Here is a 16,992-nt window from a genome sequence, read left to right as displayed (position 1 = left end):
ACATACTTGTTTTCTTCTAGATCAATGATTTTCATAGCATTTTCAGTAGCAGACCCTGTGTTTCAAAGGGAGTCTTTAGCAAAACCCCAACATTATCATAAAATAGATAAAAGCAGCACATGGTTTCCCTGAACATTTAAATCTCCATTTTTGGATGGGGGGAGAAACCTTTAAAGAATTTTTGTTTGGTTTTGTTTGTTTGGTTTTTGAAGAATGTCTGTAGCCTATCTTCAGGGATTGGCTTGAAAAATGAGTATCTGAGAAACTCTGGCAAGCTAGTTAATGTCCGTCCTGAGCAGTTCTGAAGCCGGAGTGAGGTCATGTAAGAATGGCGTTTCACTGAAAGTGTACTGTCCTTTACTTTTATTATTATTTGCACTTCTGCTAGCTGTACAACGTTGAGCAAACCATGCTGTTTGGGGGCTCTCTTTCCTCATTTATGAATTTTCAGGATTAGATTGCAAGATCCTGGACTTCCTTTAGGCTCCATATGTCATAGAACTGATAAAGGCATGTACTTAACCCTAAGATACTGATAGTCATCATAAAGCCATGGTTTGGGGTGGTAGATTTAATCACCACCACGGTCTTTCTCAGTTTTTGATTTTATGATCCACTCAAAGAGGCTCCACATGTCTCTCAAGTAATTTTTATAATATTTAACTATCCAAACCACTGAGAAACTCATTTTAACATGTCTCATTGAGTTTTTGTAATAACAACAATAACTATAACAACTTTTTTAACACTTGACAATCAACAAATGCTTATATCCATTATTTTATTTGATTCTCACAATAATCCTGTCTTTGTTTTATAAACGAGAAGGCACATGCATGGAGAGTGTCTGACTTGCTGAAGTCATCCAGCAAGAGGAAGGCTGAAGCCAAGTTGGGGTTGTCAGGCAGGGTCGTCATGCGGGACCAGTTGTGAAAGCCCTGAAAGCAGGTCACAGGGGCTCCATTTTATTGGGTCAGCAGCCCAGATACCTGAAAGAGACAAGTTACCTGATCAAAGTGGAGAGAGATTCAAATCAGGCAGGCCAGGTGAGAGGCCCCTCAGGATTCTAGAGAGATCTGATGGTGGCTGCCCCAAGATGGTGGCGGCTTAGGTGGGGAGAGGGAGTGTTTCACCCTTATCTTTCAGGGAATCCTGAATCCTGCAACCAAAACCTCTTTCTTTACTTTGCCCCTTGAAGAAATGCAGACTAGCCCCAAACTAAAAACCAGCCTCTTCCTGCGTGTTATGTTCAGAGGCAGAAAGAAGGCCCTTCTCACCTATTTCTTCACACAACCTTTCTCTTGGGGTTCCCTTTCCAACCTTGGTGTGGTTCTCATGAGTATTAAATACATCAGCTTGTCTCTCATTCCCCGCCTCAGGCTGGAAACTGGAATCCAAGAGGCACAAGAAAGTTTAGGTGAGTTTTTTGAAGCTGCCAAATCTGATGGGCTAAATTTTCATTCTATTTATTTTATGGATTTCAAAGGTTCATATTCATTTAACTGTGAAGACAGAATTATTCCCAAGTTATTTGATAGGACAAAAACTGCACTGTGGGTAGCAGACTTTGTCCAAAGCCTGAAAAACAACTAAGGAGTAAAATGATCTTGAATTTATTAGGATCCTCCAGCAATGAAGCGGCAGGGGGTGGAAACTGACCCGTCACAGTAGAGCGGAAGGCATGAGAGATAGATATGCAGGTGCCCCAAAACACGCTTGAAGCTGGTGTATTAACTTCACACATTGTTCGCCATACACAGCCATTCTCACATCCCTGGTGCTGCTGCAACAGGGGTAAGTTTCGGTGGCCACACCATCAGGCATCTTTGATGTGTGAGATGCTGATGATGCTCACCCTGCAAGGAATTCAGAGTGCACCAGGGTGCACAAGGGTCTGGAAATACCTGGGCAGTGGAGGGGCATGCAAGATTAAGACTAGGATAAAGGAGCATTGCAACCATCCCCAGCACAGAAGAAGGCTTTGAAGATTAGGAAATATTTAAACTCAAATTTAAAAAGAGGACTCTGCCCATTGGTCATGTCAGAGAGGATATTCCATGCAAAGGGAATGAAAATTTGAGGATGGGCAGAAATGCAAGTGAGTCTGGCATGTTTCATAAATCCAAGTGGTCTAATAATGTTGAGTCTTCCACTTGCAAGGGTTGGGGAGGAAACACAATGAGGCAGCTAAGCTAGAGAATGTTAAGGGCAGTGTCCACAGAGGGCAGTGGTTTGGCATGGGCTTTCAGAGCCTAAGCAGAGTGAGGAGGGCACCTGCACAAGAGAGAGGGTGGTGATGGTGTGGGATACATATGATTGAAACATATGTGGAGGATTGATCCAATAAGTAATAGTATTAAAGAAAATGGGACCTAGATTTTGCACCGTCAGAGAAGGGAGTGACAAATATAGGAAAGAGAAAGCTAGAATCAACCCTATGGTGCTAAATTAAAATTGGAGTTATCACTGTGAAATAGAAAGAAAAAGAGAGAACTGAGTGGAGAGAGAGAGAGAGAGAGAGAGAGAGAGAAGTATTTTAAGGCAAAACTAATATTAAAATAAATATTAGTTTTACCAGATATTGACACTTCTGCCAGCTGTTTTCTGCTGAAAAATTTCTATTAATTTGTAAAAGTTTATTAGTCCTTTCTTCTGTTGTCTCCAGTTGGTTGTTAAGCCCATCAGTTAATGTTTTACATCAGATATTGTACTTTATAGTTCTAAAATTTTAATTTGGTTCCTTTTTATAATTTACATTGCTCTGTTAAGATTCCACGTCTGTTAATTTATTATCACTACATTTTCCTTTATGTACTCGAACATATTTATAAAGCTGCTTTAAAATTCTTGACCCAACATCTGAGTCATCTTAGGATCAGCTTTCATTAGCTATGTTTGCATAGATTGCATTTTCCTGCTTCTACGTTTGTCTATAAATTTTTATTGTATTCTAGACATTGTGACGCTACATTGAGAGTCTGCATTTTGTTGTTTTTTTCAGAGAATGCTAAGTTTTGTTATTGCGGACAGTTAATTTGCTGGAAGATTAGATTGATCTTTTAAGGCTTGTTGTTAAGCTTTGCTAGAGTCGTTCTAGAGTACTCTTACTCTAGGATGAGAGGAACCCTGCTTCTCAGATGTAGTCTTTCTGGATCTCAGTTGAGGTCTTCTCTCCACTCTGGATTATTGGAACACCTATATTTCTCAGCACTGTGTATCATCAATGATCTCTGCTCATCTTGTAGCTCTCCAGAAGTTGTTTTTGCCAAAGGTTGGGTAGTCTTGCCCTAAACATGTATACTTTAATTGCATCCAGTGCCTTAAGGGGACTGATACATAAATTTCTGGAGCTGCTCTTTTATGCAGCTCTGTTCTCTCTGTCATCCTGAAACTTTGTAAACTTTAAACTCTAATCTCTGCCTCCCCAGTTTAGCAAACCTGCTGTGCTCTGCTTGGATTCCCCTTTCCTAAGCCATGATTCAGGAGTAGCCACAAACATAAAGTCAGGATGATCACATGGTTCACCTCCGCCAGGCATCCCCCTTAATCCAATGCTCTGTGCTGAAATATTTCTGAATCAAAACAAACAGAAGCAACTTGCATGTCTAGTTTTGTTACTGTAAACATCGAGCCCATTTCACACTTCCCTCCTGTGGGTTTAGGGAGGAGTTAGTTAGGTCAGTCACAAAACGGAAACTTTGAAACTGCTTGCAAAGTTGCCTAATGTATCACAAGGCAATGTGGTAGGTTGGCAGAGCTGGTATCTCTCTAATAGGCTGAAAGTCTCAAAATTAGAACTATAAAATTTGAGTTTAGTTTACTCTAATTCCACTGTCTATGTCCTAGGCACTGCGCTAGCTGCTAGAGGTACAAAGGTGGATGAGATGTGACCACTGCGCTAGCTGCTAGAGGTACAAAGGTGGATGGGATGTGACCAGTGCCCTGAAGGATAGGGTCCTGCAAAGAAAAATGGCAAATGCTGTGATGGAGGTCTGCAGGGCAACTAGGGTGGGAGCACAAAGTGGGGATGACCCATCTAAGCTTAAAGAGGTCAGCAAAGGTGCTAAGAATGTAGAAGAAGGTGATGAGTGAATTGAGGTGTCAAGGAAGTACAGAAGTTGTTCAGGCTGACTGAAGTGGGCAGGGGAAATAGCTGGCGAAAAGAAAAAGAGGTTCAAGCCAGGTGGCAACTTCAGTTACAGACAGCACAACCTATACTATGGCTATGGCATATACTGGCTATACTAAAGTAAATAGAGTATACAAGCTATCGCAATGGGTGCAACACAGGATTATGTCAGGAGATATAGTCAGAGAAACAAGGCTAGCCAAGATCACAACACAACTTCAGGTCCTATTTAGGCTAATAAACACAGGACTGTAGCTATTGGAGCTAGAATAGTACATAAATTAGTGGCAATTATTTATGGTGTGAGGTTCCATCTCCATTCTCCACTATCCAGATCCCGTCTGAAGTTTCTAGTCCTATATAAGACCTTTGAAACCACCAAAAGTGAAGCAGAGAAGGGAGTCAGGGTGGCAAAGGAATTCGAAAGCATTTTCTTCTGGTATGGTCATGGAGACAGGCCTTCCTATCCCCCCTTTGTAAAGGAAACAGCTCTATCCTTGTCCCTAGGCTGTTTTTTCCTAAAGAAAGTTATGGCCAACCATGAGTTCTAACTATCTGACTCAAGGCAGTTAATTCACAGGCTCATTTTGCATTGACGAGCAGGTGTCTTTAGGTTGGGCTCTCTGGGAAACAGGCCCCGAGATGAAAATATCTATGCAGAAGGTTTATCATGGTGCACTGTCAGGATCAGCAACCTAAGTGATAAAGGAAGCAGAATTGGGCAGAGGGCAAGGTTAACTTGCCATACAGTTGAAACAGAGATCTCAGCTGATTCCATGGGGAGTGCAGAAGTTGACAAGGCCCTTCAAAGACCTTTCATACTTACGCAAAGGGCCAGACTTCTGTTCGTCATCTCAATCAGTCATTAGATGCATTTTCTCCAGGGGAAAGAAAAAAAATCCCCCAGCGTGATCCAGCTGTGAGCTGTCAGCTGACAACCCTTCCTCTGGGACATGTGGGTGCTGCATCACTGCTTCCATTGCAGATAACCTGCTCTGGGAAGTTCTGCCCATGGGAGAAATGATAATTAGCCAGACTATTCAGACTCCAGAAATGAGCAGTAACATATGGCAAGGATCAGCCAGGTGATATAAACAACTTGTTTGATAGAAAGCAGGAACCAGGAGAAACAGAATGTGTGAGGAGCATGTTTATCCCCTGAGAGATGGTTGAAGAAACTGGGAATGTTTATCTGGAGGGGCAGAGAAGACTGTGGAGGGATGTGAGGCCCACCTGTAAATAGCTGAAGGGCTGGCAAGTGGAAGAAGGCTCTGGTGTGCTCCTCAGCACCTCAGGGGGTTGCATTTTAGGTGGAGAGGGTCCCAACAGTCAGGGCTCTAAGTTCTGTCCTCACCTGCAAATGGGGCTGCTGCTGACACCACACAGGTCTTTGGTGGGAGGTGGAGCTGAAGGCATTGTCAGGACCGGAGCCTCTGCAGGTATCCTGTTCCCCTAACAGCAGGCAGCTTCCTTGATGTAGGCTGCATCTGAAAGGTTAATTCCCTCTTCTTTGGGCCAGTTCAAAAATTGTAAGCATGACTATAGCTCGGGCAGTGATTCTCAAACCTGGCTGCATATGAAAAGCTCTAGGAAGTTTAAAAATATAGTGCTCAGCTCCAGAGAAGTCAAATCATAATCTCTCAAGATAGGGATGGGTCATTTTTATTTCTTAAGGGCTCCCCAGATAAATCTGATATGTAAACAAAGTTGAAAACCCTACGTCTGCCCTACTAGAGTGTTATTTGACTGAGAGGAAATGAGAAGGGTCATTCAAAGGATAAATGAAAAAGATTTCTGTTGCATAATGAGATCAATAGGAAATGATTAATCCCAAGGGAGGTAGCCGTGGCAAAATATAACAAGCAAATTGATTGCTACAAGAGGATCTGTGGCCCTAATGCTGACTGCCTTGAATCAGAGGAAGCTGAAGTTTTGTTTTGACAATGTGATCCAGTGCTCTATTTTAGTGAAGTATGTGGCTTGATGGGAATAGAGTGTCTTTAAACTTTCTCATGTAACAGGGACTGTTCCTCTCATAGACAGCCCTTAAGCCCTCTGGGGCTCTAATATACTATCAGGTTGTCTAGGTAACAAAAATAAATTATGTGTATGGAAGAAAATGTGGAAATATAGAAATGTGTGAATATAGAAAAATATAAAGTATAAAGAAAAAACACAAAACTTTTTTCCAATTCCATTGTCCAAAACTAGTCATTTCTATAATCTTGCCATAATATGCACAGGTAACATATACACTCCTTCTGTGTATGTGTATACATACACATGCACATATATGTATGTATGTATTTATCTGTGTATCAGACACTGTGCTACTAAGCACTCTTGATTAATTATTTTGAAACCACAAAACAGTTTGAAAGGTTATCTCACCTAGGATGACAATAACAGTTCCTACCTCATGAGGCTGTTGTGTATTAACATTAGCTAATACGTGGTAAAATGTTTAAGACAGCGCCTGGCCTATACTAAGGCCTTAATAAATATTAGAAAGAGAAGAGAGAGAAAAAGAAAGAGAGGAAAAGAGGGAGGAAGAGATGAGGAAATTTACTCATGTTAGAAAAAGTCTGAGAGGAGGTGAAGACACAGAGTTTGCTAACTCAGCACCATTGGCATGCTGGGCTGGAAAATTCTCTGCCGTCGGGGGGCTGTCCTGCAATTCATAGGCTGTTTAACATCATCTCCAGCCTCTACAATTCAAGGCCAGCAGTCTCCCCTCCTCAAAGGCATCACAGTCAAAAATGTCCTCAGACATTGCCCTAGGGGGCAAAATCACCTCCAGTTGGGAACCATTAACCTAGATCCATCATATATTAATTCTTGTTCTTTTACGAAAAAAATACATTTTAATCAAATGCATGTGTAAAATATCACAGTTGAGATCCACATACCGTTTTATATTCTGCATTTTCACTTAATGTCACATCATGATATTGCGCCTCATCATTAAACATTCATTATAAATGTCATTTTTAGCGGCTGCATTATATCCTAGCCTTCCAATGTACTGTCATTTTAATGACACGATATTGTTAGATAGGTTGTTTCCACTTTGTGCTCTTACCAAAAAGATGATCTTCCAAATGCATACCTACACACATATAGGTCTTTGTCTACATTTCTACTTCTTTTCACTGGGTAAATTTTTAGAAGTGAAATTACTGAAATAAAGTAATTGAGATCCTGAAGAGTCTTGACAAATATTACCACATTGATTTCCAAAACAGCTGTCCAAGTCGACACGACCACTAGCAGTCATGTAGGTATTTGGAATGCATGAGATATGGGGACTGGCATGGTTTTGATTTGAACTAACTGAAGGGGTCTTTTAATCTACACTTCACAAAAGTCAAAAATAAAACTTTAAAAGTAAAAGACAACACACGCCATGTGGTGAGGTGGTATTTATTACATCACAGGTGATGTAACTGTGCATAACTTCAATAAACTTCACAGCAAAGGAGATGGTTCTGACATCAACTCTATTGCTATTTCCTAAGGGGTTGAGGGAAACCTTAAATAGTCCAGTGAGGAAAATATATCTCTCATTTCTAGAGAGTTACCAGCCCTGCTGGGAGCCACATGGAGAAGTTGGAATTGAAATACAAGGCTGGTGGTCCAGCTGGCCACATGTCAAGCTCAGAGCCATGATGGTTATCTGATTTCCATCCCACTTGAAAGTGATGTTCAAATCATCTACAAGAGGAATTATGAAAGAATTTGTAGTATTCTAGAATTCTTATAGAAAGCAGAAATCTGCTGCTTCACTCCTCCATTTGGGGGAGAACTTTCAGAATGGAAGGGGAACTCAGATCTACTTATAGGCAGCCATGAAACCTTGAGTCAACTATGGAAATTTCCAAGCCCAGATATCAGATTTGCACCTGGGGGGTGGATTCCAGCCTCTCTGAAGACTGGTCTGGCATAAGTGTTATAGGACCCTGGGACAGCAGGCCTCTCCCACTTATTCCTCATTTTCTATGGGAGGTCATGTAGGCTTCTTGGACAGTGTTTATAATCAAGTGTGGAATAAATGAGCTAACAAAGAAGACTGACTCATCCAAATGTGCTATTGGCACAACCCAACAGAGCTGAACATATACATTCTAGATGTTCATTTGATAAATAATTCCATTTCACAGACATTCATTGGTGTTAGTTTAATGCCTGTTGTAGGTACTGTAGAGGATTAACACGACACTGTCCCCATCCTCCAAGAGTTGAGAAGATTTTAAAAAATATACAATTATCTAGAATGTTAGGCATACAGCTAAAAATAAGTCTATTATAAACAGAGTGCCCAGGGACTTCATTGCAAGGACACAAATATTGCAGAGCACTTAGCATGTGCCAGGCAGTGTTATGAGGACTTCACGCTGAGTCAATGCATCTCATCTCACAATGCCATTCTGAAACTGGTGCTGTCCTAGACACCTTGCCCAAGATCCCACAGCTGGTAAATAGAAGAGCTGAGGGATGAACCCGCTAGCTGGATCCAGCATGAAGGCTATGCTGTACATTGTTCTCTGGGGGTTTAGGAAGAGCCTCATGAAGGTAAACACAATGGAGCTTTCAGAGGTAAAAATTGAAGGACAGATCTCCCAGATAGATAGACTTGGGAGTTAAGCCAGATAATTGGTACATAATCAAGTAGGCAATAGGGGAGTCAATAAGTATTTTTGGGCAAGGGAATCACACGATCAAAACTGAACTTTAACACAATGAATCTGGAAGGAAGAAGTGGGAGAAAGGAGAAACTGAAAGTCGGTGGTAGGGAGATAGGTATGATGGAACAGCTAGGGTAAGGGTCTTCGGCATGCGGCAGTCTTGGGATGATGAGAGAGTAAAGATAAATACCAGGCTTTACTGAGCATGGCATTGTGTTGTGATTCTCATCCTACCCCACTTTGATGTATTTATTCACCCAGAATATATATATATATATATATATCACAAATGATCCTGGCACATACTAGCTACTTAATAAAAACCTGATTTTCTGAGAGAAGAAATAAATGTCATGCCTCCAGGTTATTCAGTAAGTCTGCAATAGGATATTGTTCAATGCCCCTGTGTGTGTGTGTGCTTGTGGGGGGTGTGTGTGTGTGTGTATGCACACACGCATGTGGTGTAAGAGCTGGAATTTAGCCCAGAGCTCCATGTACACAACTTTTTTTTGCTGATAGACACTGGCTTCCATCTGTGATTCTAAAAACCATGGCCAAATTTGGTCTTTGAAGTACAGAGGCTCAGAACCTGAGTAAAGGTGGACATAGCAAGAGTCTGCAGGACATGGGCCTCTCTGAGCAGCAACACCCAACCCCTCCTAGTCGTCAGAAAGTCTATAGCTCCAGAAGGACTTTTTGATGCAGAAGTGAAACCCAAACTGTAGCTAAAAACAGAGCAATGCAGTATGATGCCTCCATGCTAGTGAGCCCTGCATGTGGGCAAACAAGGAACCCTCCTGCATCCCATGCCCATTCCGCCTGTGTATGGCAGTTGTTCCAGCCCCATCTCACTGAGCAGGAGCTGCATAATGATTTGTGCCCAGGATTGTTAGAAAGAATGACTTTGACTTCAGATTGATCAGAGCTTCAATCCAAGTTTTGTCTCTGATAAGCCACCAACTCTTGGGCAATGTATTTAATTCCCTCTGCGTTGGTTTCTTTCTTTTTTCTTTTCTTTTCTTTTCTTTTCTTTCTCTCTTTCTTTTTTCTTTTCTTTCTCTCTTTCTTTTCCTTTCTTTTCTTTCCTCCCTCCTTCTCTCTCTGTTTCTTTCTTTCTCTCTCTTTCCTATCTTCCTCTATCCTTCCCTCCCTCTCTCTTTCCCTCCCTCTCTCCTTCCCTTTCCTTTCCTTTCTTTTCCTTTCCCTTCCCTTCCTTTCCTTTCCTTCCTTCTCTCTTTCTATTTCTTTCTTTCTTTCCTTTCTTTCTTTCTTGAGACACTCTCAATGTTGCCCAGGCTGGAGTACAGTGTCACAGTCATAATTCACTGCAGCCTCCACCTCCTGGGCTCAAGCAACCCTCCCACCTCAGCCTCTCAAGTAGCTGGGACTACCACAACCAGCCAATTTTTTTTTTTGGAAGAAACAGGTCTTGCGTGTTTCCCAGGCTCGTCTTGAACTCCTGGGTTCAAGCAATCCTCCTGCCTGAGCCTCCTGAGTAGCTGGGTCTACAGGCAGGAGCCACTGTGCCGGGCTGCTTTGGTTTTCTTATTTGCTAACTCAGGATGACTTTAGCTTCCAGGGTGGTGCAAGTGCAGGGCCAGTGCATGGGAGTGAGAGCCTCCTTCAGTCGTGTACCCTGGGTGCCTCACATGACTCACCCTAGCCCCGGCCCTGGTGAGAAGCTGTGAAAGAACCTGGCATGTGAGGAAACACCATGGATCTTTCCACGTGACTGAAAGGAAGGAGGTGCGTGTGTTGGGGACACACTGTCAGGAGAGGATGAGGAGCTGACACCAGATACTGATGGCTCCAGCCCCAAGACAAGAGTGCCAGGAGATGCCCCTCAGCACCCCATAGGTGGCAAGCCCAAAGGGTAGATTACAGGCAGCCCCTGACTAGACTTTTCAGAGAGAAGCCTCAGACCATCAAAGTGAAAATGATAGTATTCAAAGTCATCAGGGAAAAGGAGAGGTTACCTATAAAGGGATGGCAATTATACGTTCAGTAGACCTTTTTTCCCCAACAACAGATGTCATGAAAGATGGTGTATCATCAGGAAGGTGCTGAGGAGAAATGATTAACAATCTAATATAAACAATAAATAGTAGGCATCCATTTTTGAGCACTTGTATGGTAGCCTAGAGCTCTGTATTCAGCATAACGATTATTTAATATGAGAGTTAAATAAAGACGTGTAGAATACAAAAAATGCACTACTCGTTGGCCCTTACTGAAAAACAAAATCAGCAAGAGGATGGATCAGGATGGAGAAAATACAGGTGATCACAGAAAGTAGTAAAATATAGTGGAAAGCGTATTTAACAATTGACTTCAAGAAATTAATAATGATTGCTATTGTGTGTTTTACAGTTGGTGAAATTAAAATTAATAACAAAGAAGATACTGGGATGTTTAATGAGTAAAGTGAGATAATATGTGCCTTATGAGAATGATTGAGATCAAGAATAAATGTAGAATTTGTTAGAAAAATAATTAGTTGAGTGTGAATATTGGAAATAAAGTTTAACAGCAGAAAGAATGGAAATCGTCATCATCTTGCAGTGAATGCAAATATCCGGCACCTTCCTGTTAGGTGCCTTCTTCTAGGCATTGATGATACAGAGATGAGCAGACGGAAAAGTCTTTTTTTGCATGGTTTTGTTAATGTAAATTGTAATGTATTCCTAGACTAACCTTGGTAACATATGACAATGCTGAGAGTCACTTTATTTTTTTTGTTTTTTTTGTTTTTTCAAAAAAAAAAAAAAGAGGTGGTGCATGTAAACTGTAGATGGAGTGTTATATGGGGAGGGACTTGCCTTTGGGATATGAGTTAGTTCATTTCTTGCATTGCTGTAAAAAAATTCTGAGGCTGGAAATTTTTTCTGTTTCTACCAAAAAAACATCCAAATTAGCAGGTTATGGTAGTTCCAGCTACATGGGAGGCTGAGGTGGGAGGGTTGCTTGAGGCCAGGAGGTGAAGGCTACAGTGAGTTATCATTGTGCCACTGTACTGCAGCCTGTGCAACAGTGAGACTCTGTCGAAAGAAAGAAAGAAAGAAAGAAAGAAAGAAAGAAAGAAAGAAAGAAAGAAAGAAAGAAAGAAAGGAAGGAAGGAAGGAAGGAAGGAAGGAAGGAAGGAAGGAAGGAAGGAAGGAAGAAAGAAAGAAAGAAAGAAAGAAAGACATTTATAAAGAAAAAGGGTTTCGTTGGTTCAGTTCTGCAGGCTGTACAGAAAAGCATGACTCTGGTTTCTGCTGGCTTCTGGGGAGGCCTCACAGAGCTTTTACTCATGGTAAAAGGTGAAGCAGGAGCAGGCATGTTACATGGTGAAAGCAGGAGCAAGAGAGAGAGAGCTGTGTGGTGGGGAGTGTGTCACACTTTACAACAACCAGATCTGGTGGAACTCACTCATTACTACAAGGACAGCACCAAGTCATAAGGGCTCTGCCCCCATGACTCAGACACCTCCCCCCAGGCCCCAGCTGCAACACTGGGGATTACATTTCAATGTGATATGTCATGTCGGCAAGGACAAATATGCAAACTATATTAGGGCGCTTCCCTGATGGTCATGGAAAAAGGAAGTCTTCTTGTTGAGAACCCCAATGCCACTGTCTTTAGCAATGAGCATATTCGATGTATTATGTATGTCTTCATCCCATGGGTTTAGCATGAAGAGTTGCAAATAGCTGGGCTTTAGCACACCGGTACCACTGAGCCCTGGAAGATAAGAGATGCCTTGGGCTGAGCGGGAGTGGTACAGAAGTCCTGGAGAAAACCAAAGCGCAGAGGAGCCTCCGGCACGCAGATGTGGATTCAGGGCCCATCCTCTTGTCTTGACCTTGAGCAAGTCAGTTACCTTCTCTGTGTCTTAGTTTCCCGATCTGTACAGTCACCGCTTCATGAGATTGCTATGAAAATGATGATGGACGTGTTGATTCACGTCTTTGTAGGAGCTCCCCCACTGATTAATAACAGGTGTCCAAATGCTGATTGGAGCTCCTTGAATACTTTTCTTATTTCTCACAATGTGCTTAAGGTCTTTGAAGGCATTTACTGGTTCTTATTCATGTTTGTATTCCCAAGCATTGTTCTAGGAACACACTTATTAACAAATATTTTTTAACTGAGCTAAAGTAAATGGAATGAAATTGGATTGAATTGACAAGGATGCAACCTAAACATGATACAATTAAGGAACAATAGGAGACACCATCTCATTAGGGGCTTCTTCCAGCTTTTATAAAATTACAGGAATTCAGAGACGAGGGAGATGAAAGTAGACTGAACAGACACTTATTGGGGACAAGCACTTCCTGAATAACCACTTTGTGCCTGACACCATGCCAGCCCTTCTCCCAAACACTATCTCATTAACTCCTAACAACACACTGAGAAAAAAACATTATTACCATCATTTTATAAATGAAAATCCCAGGGTTCAGAAAAGCCAGGTCACCTACCCAATGTGACCTGAGAAAAGCGGCAGGGCCAGAGTAAAAAGCGAGCTTCTCGGCTGCTGCAGCCCCCTCTCCGCTTTCTCATTCAGCCCCAGGCTTTGGTGTGGGGGGTAACTCTTCTGCTTGTTTCTATTTGATTCTCTTTTGTTTTTTTGTGCCACATTGGCAAAGCTGTACTCACCATGCCTATTTTCAATTATAGCCTGCAAGCCTGTGCTTTGAAGTACATAATTTATTTTCCCAGTCAGACCAAATAGAAAACACAACTGTGTGTTTAAATACTAATTAACCTTTTCACATATCTCTCTCTCTTTCTCTCTTGCTCTATCTCTTTCTCTCTCTCCTCTCATTCCTCTAAAGCAAAAGCATGTAACATGTAAGACAATTCTTGCCAATTTTATTTTCCTGGACTCTATCAGTTGGAAGTCTACAGCATACGGCTATGAGGACTTCTGTACTTGAAGTCAAATTCGTTTAGAAAGAGAAGACTGCCGTGCATGTGGTCACCAATGTGTTTGTTTCTCTGCACTGAGAATTCTAAGCTCCCTTTACTGTAGAGTTTGCAGGGCCCATTTCAAGGATAGCTCTATTGGGTTTCCATTAATATCATTTTCATCGGCCATATATTACTTTCCCCTGCCTGAAATCTCTCATAGTTTAAAAGACTTGGGCTTTGAAAGCAGACAGCCTGCCCATTTAAACGAACTTCATGCATCCATATAAAGCAGCTTAAAAATTACTTCATTAGCATCTCCATGTCAGCATTTTAATTTTCTAATATTGCCGTCCATCTCCCACTCAGCTGCAGCGCTCCTGTTTTCACAGCCATCTCCTCCTATTCTGCACCTAGATCCTTGCATTGACCACTTGGTTTTGGAGTCGTGGAATCATCTTTGATCTCAAAATCTTTTTGGAATGCAACCATCTGCACTTCGACCCAATCTGAGTGCCCCATTCAGAAAACACCCCTTTATTCTCAGTACCATTTTTTCAGTGGAATGTAGTGATGTGTTTAATTTCAGATATGTTGAACTTACAATGCTTGAGAGGCTACTGTGGATCTGTTGGTTCAAAGCTCCAGAAAGAAAGTGAAAAAGACTAGAAGACAGTATTGACATGGAAAGCAGAAAAAAGAAAGGCTTTTTTTTTTTTTGAGTTTCACTCTTGTTGCCCAGGCTGGATCGCAGCAGCGCAATCTCAGCTCACTGCAACCTCTGCCTCCTGGGTTCAAGCTATTCTCCCACCTCAGCCTCCCGAGTAGCAGGGATTACAAGCATGCGCCACCAGGCCCGGCTAATTTTGTATTTTTAGTAGAGACAAGGTTTCTCCATGTTGGTCAGGCTGGTCTAGACTCCAAACCTCAGGTGATCCACCCGCCTCAGCCTCCCAAAGTGCTGGGATTATAGGCATGAGCCACTGCTCCTGGCTAAAAGTAAAGACTTTCTATGAGAATGGAATGGTAAATGGAATTGGATACCACAGAGAAGTCTGATAGAGTAATAAAGGGATGTGTTTATTAGGTTTTGCAACAAAGCGGTCAATGGTTTCCCTTGTTACAGGGGTCCCCAACCCCCAGGCCACGGACCAGTACTGGTCCATGGCCTGCTAGGAACTGGGACATACAGCAGGACATGAGTGGCCGGCAAGCAAGTATTACCCCCGAGCTCTGCCTCCTGTCAGATTAGTGGTGGCATTAGATTCTCTTAGGAGCGTGGACCTTATTGTGAGAGGTTGTATTTGAGGGATCTAGGTTGCTTGTTCCTTATGAGAATCTAACTAATGCCTGATGATCTGAGGTGGAACAGTTTCATCTCGAAACCATCCCCCATACTACAATATATGGAAAAATTGTCTTCCACAAAACCGGTCTTGGGTGCCAAAAAGGTTGGGAACCACTGCCTTATCAGACACATTTATGTTGGTAGGAGGATAAAGACACAAATTGCAATGACTTCATGAAGGAATGAGAGGGAAAAAAATGTTGTGATAAAAGGTGTAGATCCTTATTTCAAAGAGCCTAGCACAATGCCTGGCTCACAGTGGACTCTCGGCAGATAAGAGTTAATGAATGAGGGTCGAAGCAAGAGCCAGAGTGATGGGTAAGGACCCCCGTGCCTTAGTTTGAGAACATGTTCTGAGGATTTTTCTTTCAAAAGTAGTTAACAATCTAACTAAGAATATAAGCAAGTATATTGGTAAAAATTGCAATATGACCTTCAAAAGGTATGCAAGCAAGCAGTAAACTGGGTGTCATGTACTGAGTCATAAGAAACTGAGGCTGTCTCTGTGTTTCATTTACAAGCAAATGGGTGAAGTTTTCCTGGTGTTCGTACAACCCCAAGGTCTGATCTTCAAGTCAAAATCTCCATTTGACTAGTGGAGAGGCGACCTGTCTCTTGCTGTTAATTTACAACTATTACATTATGTAGAGACTAATATTTATTCACTTATTCATTCATTCATTCATTCATTCAACAGACATAAACTGAGCTTCTACAATGTAGAAATCCTTATGTCCTACCATTAGGTGACAGTGGCTGGAAAGTGTAACTAAGAGAAAAACCAGAATGAGGGCATCTGTCGGGTAGAACATCTGATCCCTGGAAACAAAGCTACATTCAGATTTGTTGTTACTAGTTTGAAAGTTGCTGCCCATAAGCTGTGGGGTTAGGGGAGTTAGTTAGGATCTTAATAACTACAGACTTGGAGCAATAGTAGTCTGATGACCCACGTTTGCCTAAAGATTGAACTTCTCAGTTAATCAGATACTGATTGCCAGACAATCACTCACATTTTGAGAATATTACTAGAGAAACCAAAAACCATTCTTATAGGAATTTCTTTGCAATGAAAGTCCAATAGCTGTGATGCTGTGGCATGAGGGCAGAGATCACCCACATAGAAGGTATGAAGTCAATATTTTTGAATGCGTGAATATATAATGGGTTTCATGCAATGTGACAGTGAGATGGAGCCAGATGTTCACTTTTGCTAATCTTACTGGTTCCAGCTGTCTTTCTTTTGCCTTTTTTCCTCCTTACCTGCCCCAGCCTAGACTGAAATGGTCCAACTCAAGTCTTGCTGTCTGTCCATTCTCCAAAACTCCCAAGAGAAGGATGATGTATATGTGTGAATGTGTGTGTGCACATGTGTGTGTATGTGGACCAAAAGACAGTTATAAGTTCAAGTATCCATCAAGAAATATCTACCAAAAATATCTTTGCCCTCATATTAAAGGTTAATAACTAAGTAATAAAAATAAAAAACGACAATAGCAACAACCACGGAGTATAGGTTTGTTATCCTCATTTTACAGAGGAGGAAGTCGAATTCCAAAGAGAGTCAGTGACTTACCTGAGGTGCCATTATCAGGAAGTGGCAGGACCATGGTTCAAACTCTGGCCAATTTGACTCCACATGCAGCAAATGCCCAATGCATCTAGCACTTAGTTTTCTCTTCAGTAAAAGAGGAGATTCGCCTTAAAAGTTTCTTTTAATCCTAGCAGTCCCTGAAAGAATAATGTTGCTTCCTTTCCCTCAGTGCCTTGTATAGCATGGGGTCTTGCAGTGAGCGCTTGTGCATTTATTCAGGTGATTTACACAAGGTCCAGTAGGTGGAGCTAGAGAGTAGACACAAACTTCTGTGGCTGATGAGGAGGAGCTAATATCTGGATATTGTCCTCACTCATCCTGTTTGTTAGTTGATTTCCCTCTT

The 16,992-nt window shown here is 41.8% G+C and overlaps 1 long non-coding RNA gene across 1 annotated transcript, besides 1 other annotated feature; it reads right to left on the bottom strand.

The window, feature by feature from the left end:
• Positions 1-764: 764 nt before the first annotated feature.
• Positions 765-16,676, bottom strand: LOC101927822 (uncharacterized). Its single transcript, NR_125424.1, has 4 exons — positions 16,632-16,676; positions 5,484-5,616; positions 4,956-5,134; positions 765-989 (listed from the first exon to the last, which is right to left on the bottom strand). It is a non-coding gene; the product is annotated as an uncharacterized LOC101927822 (long non-coding RNA).
• Positions 5,425-5,925: an enhancer, noted in NCBI's record as "OCT4-NANOG-H3K4me1 hESC enhancer chr8:134909490-134909990 (GRCh37/hg19 assembly coordinates)". NCBI's record gives its function as "activates a minimal SCP1, AML or CMV promoter by ChIP-STARR-seq in naive H9 embryonic stem cells {active_cell/tissue: H9 hESC(naive)}" and the evidence as "EXISTENCE:reporter gene assay evidence [ECO:0000049][PMID:30033119]".
• Positions 16,677-16,992: the final 316 nt, after the last annotated feature.

Source organism: Homo sapiens, chromosome 8, assembly GCF_000001405.40.
Source record: "Homo sapiens chromosome 8, GRCh38.p14 Primary Assembly".
NCBI classification, from domain to species: Eukaryota; Metazoa; Chordata; class Mammalia; order Primates; family Hominidae; genus Homo; species Homo sapiens.
Note: the sequence above shows the minus strand (reverse complement) of the source record. Positions and strands in the feature narration are given on the sequence as shown.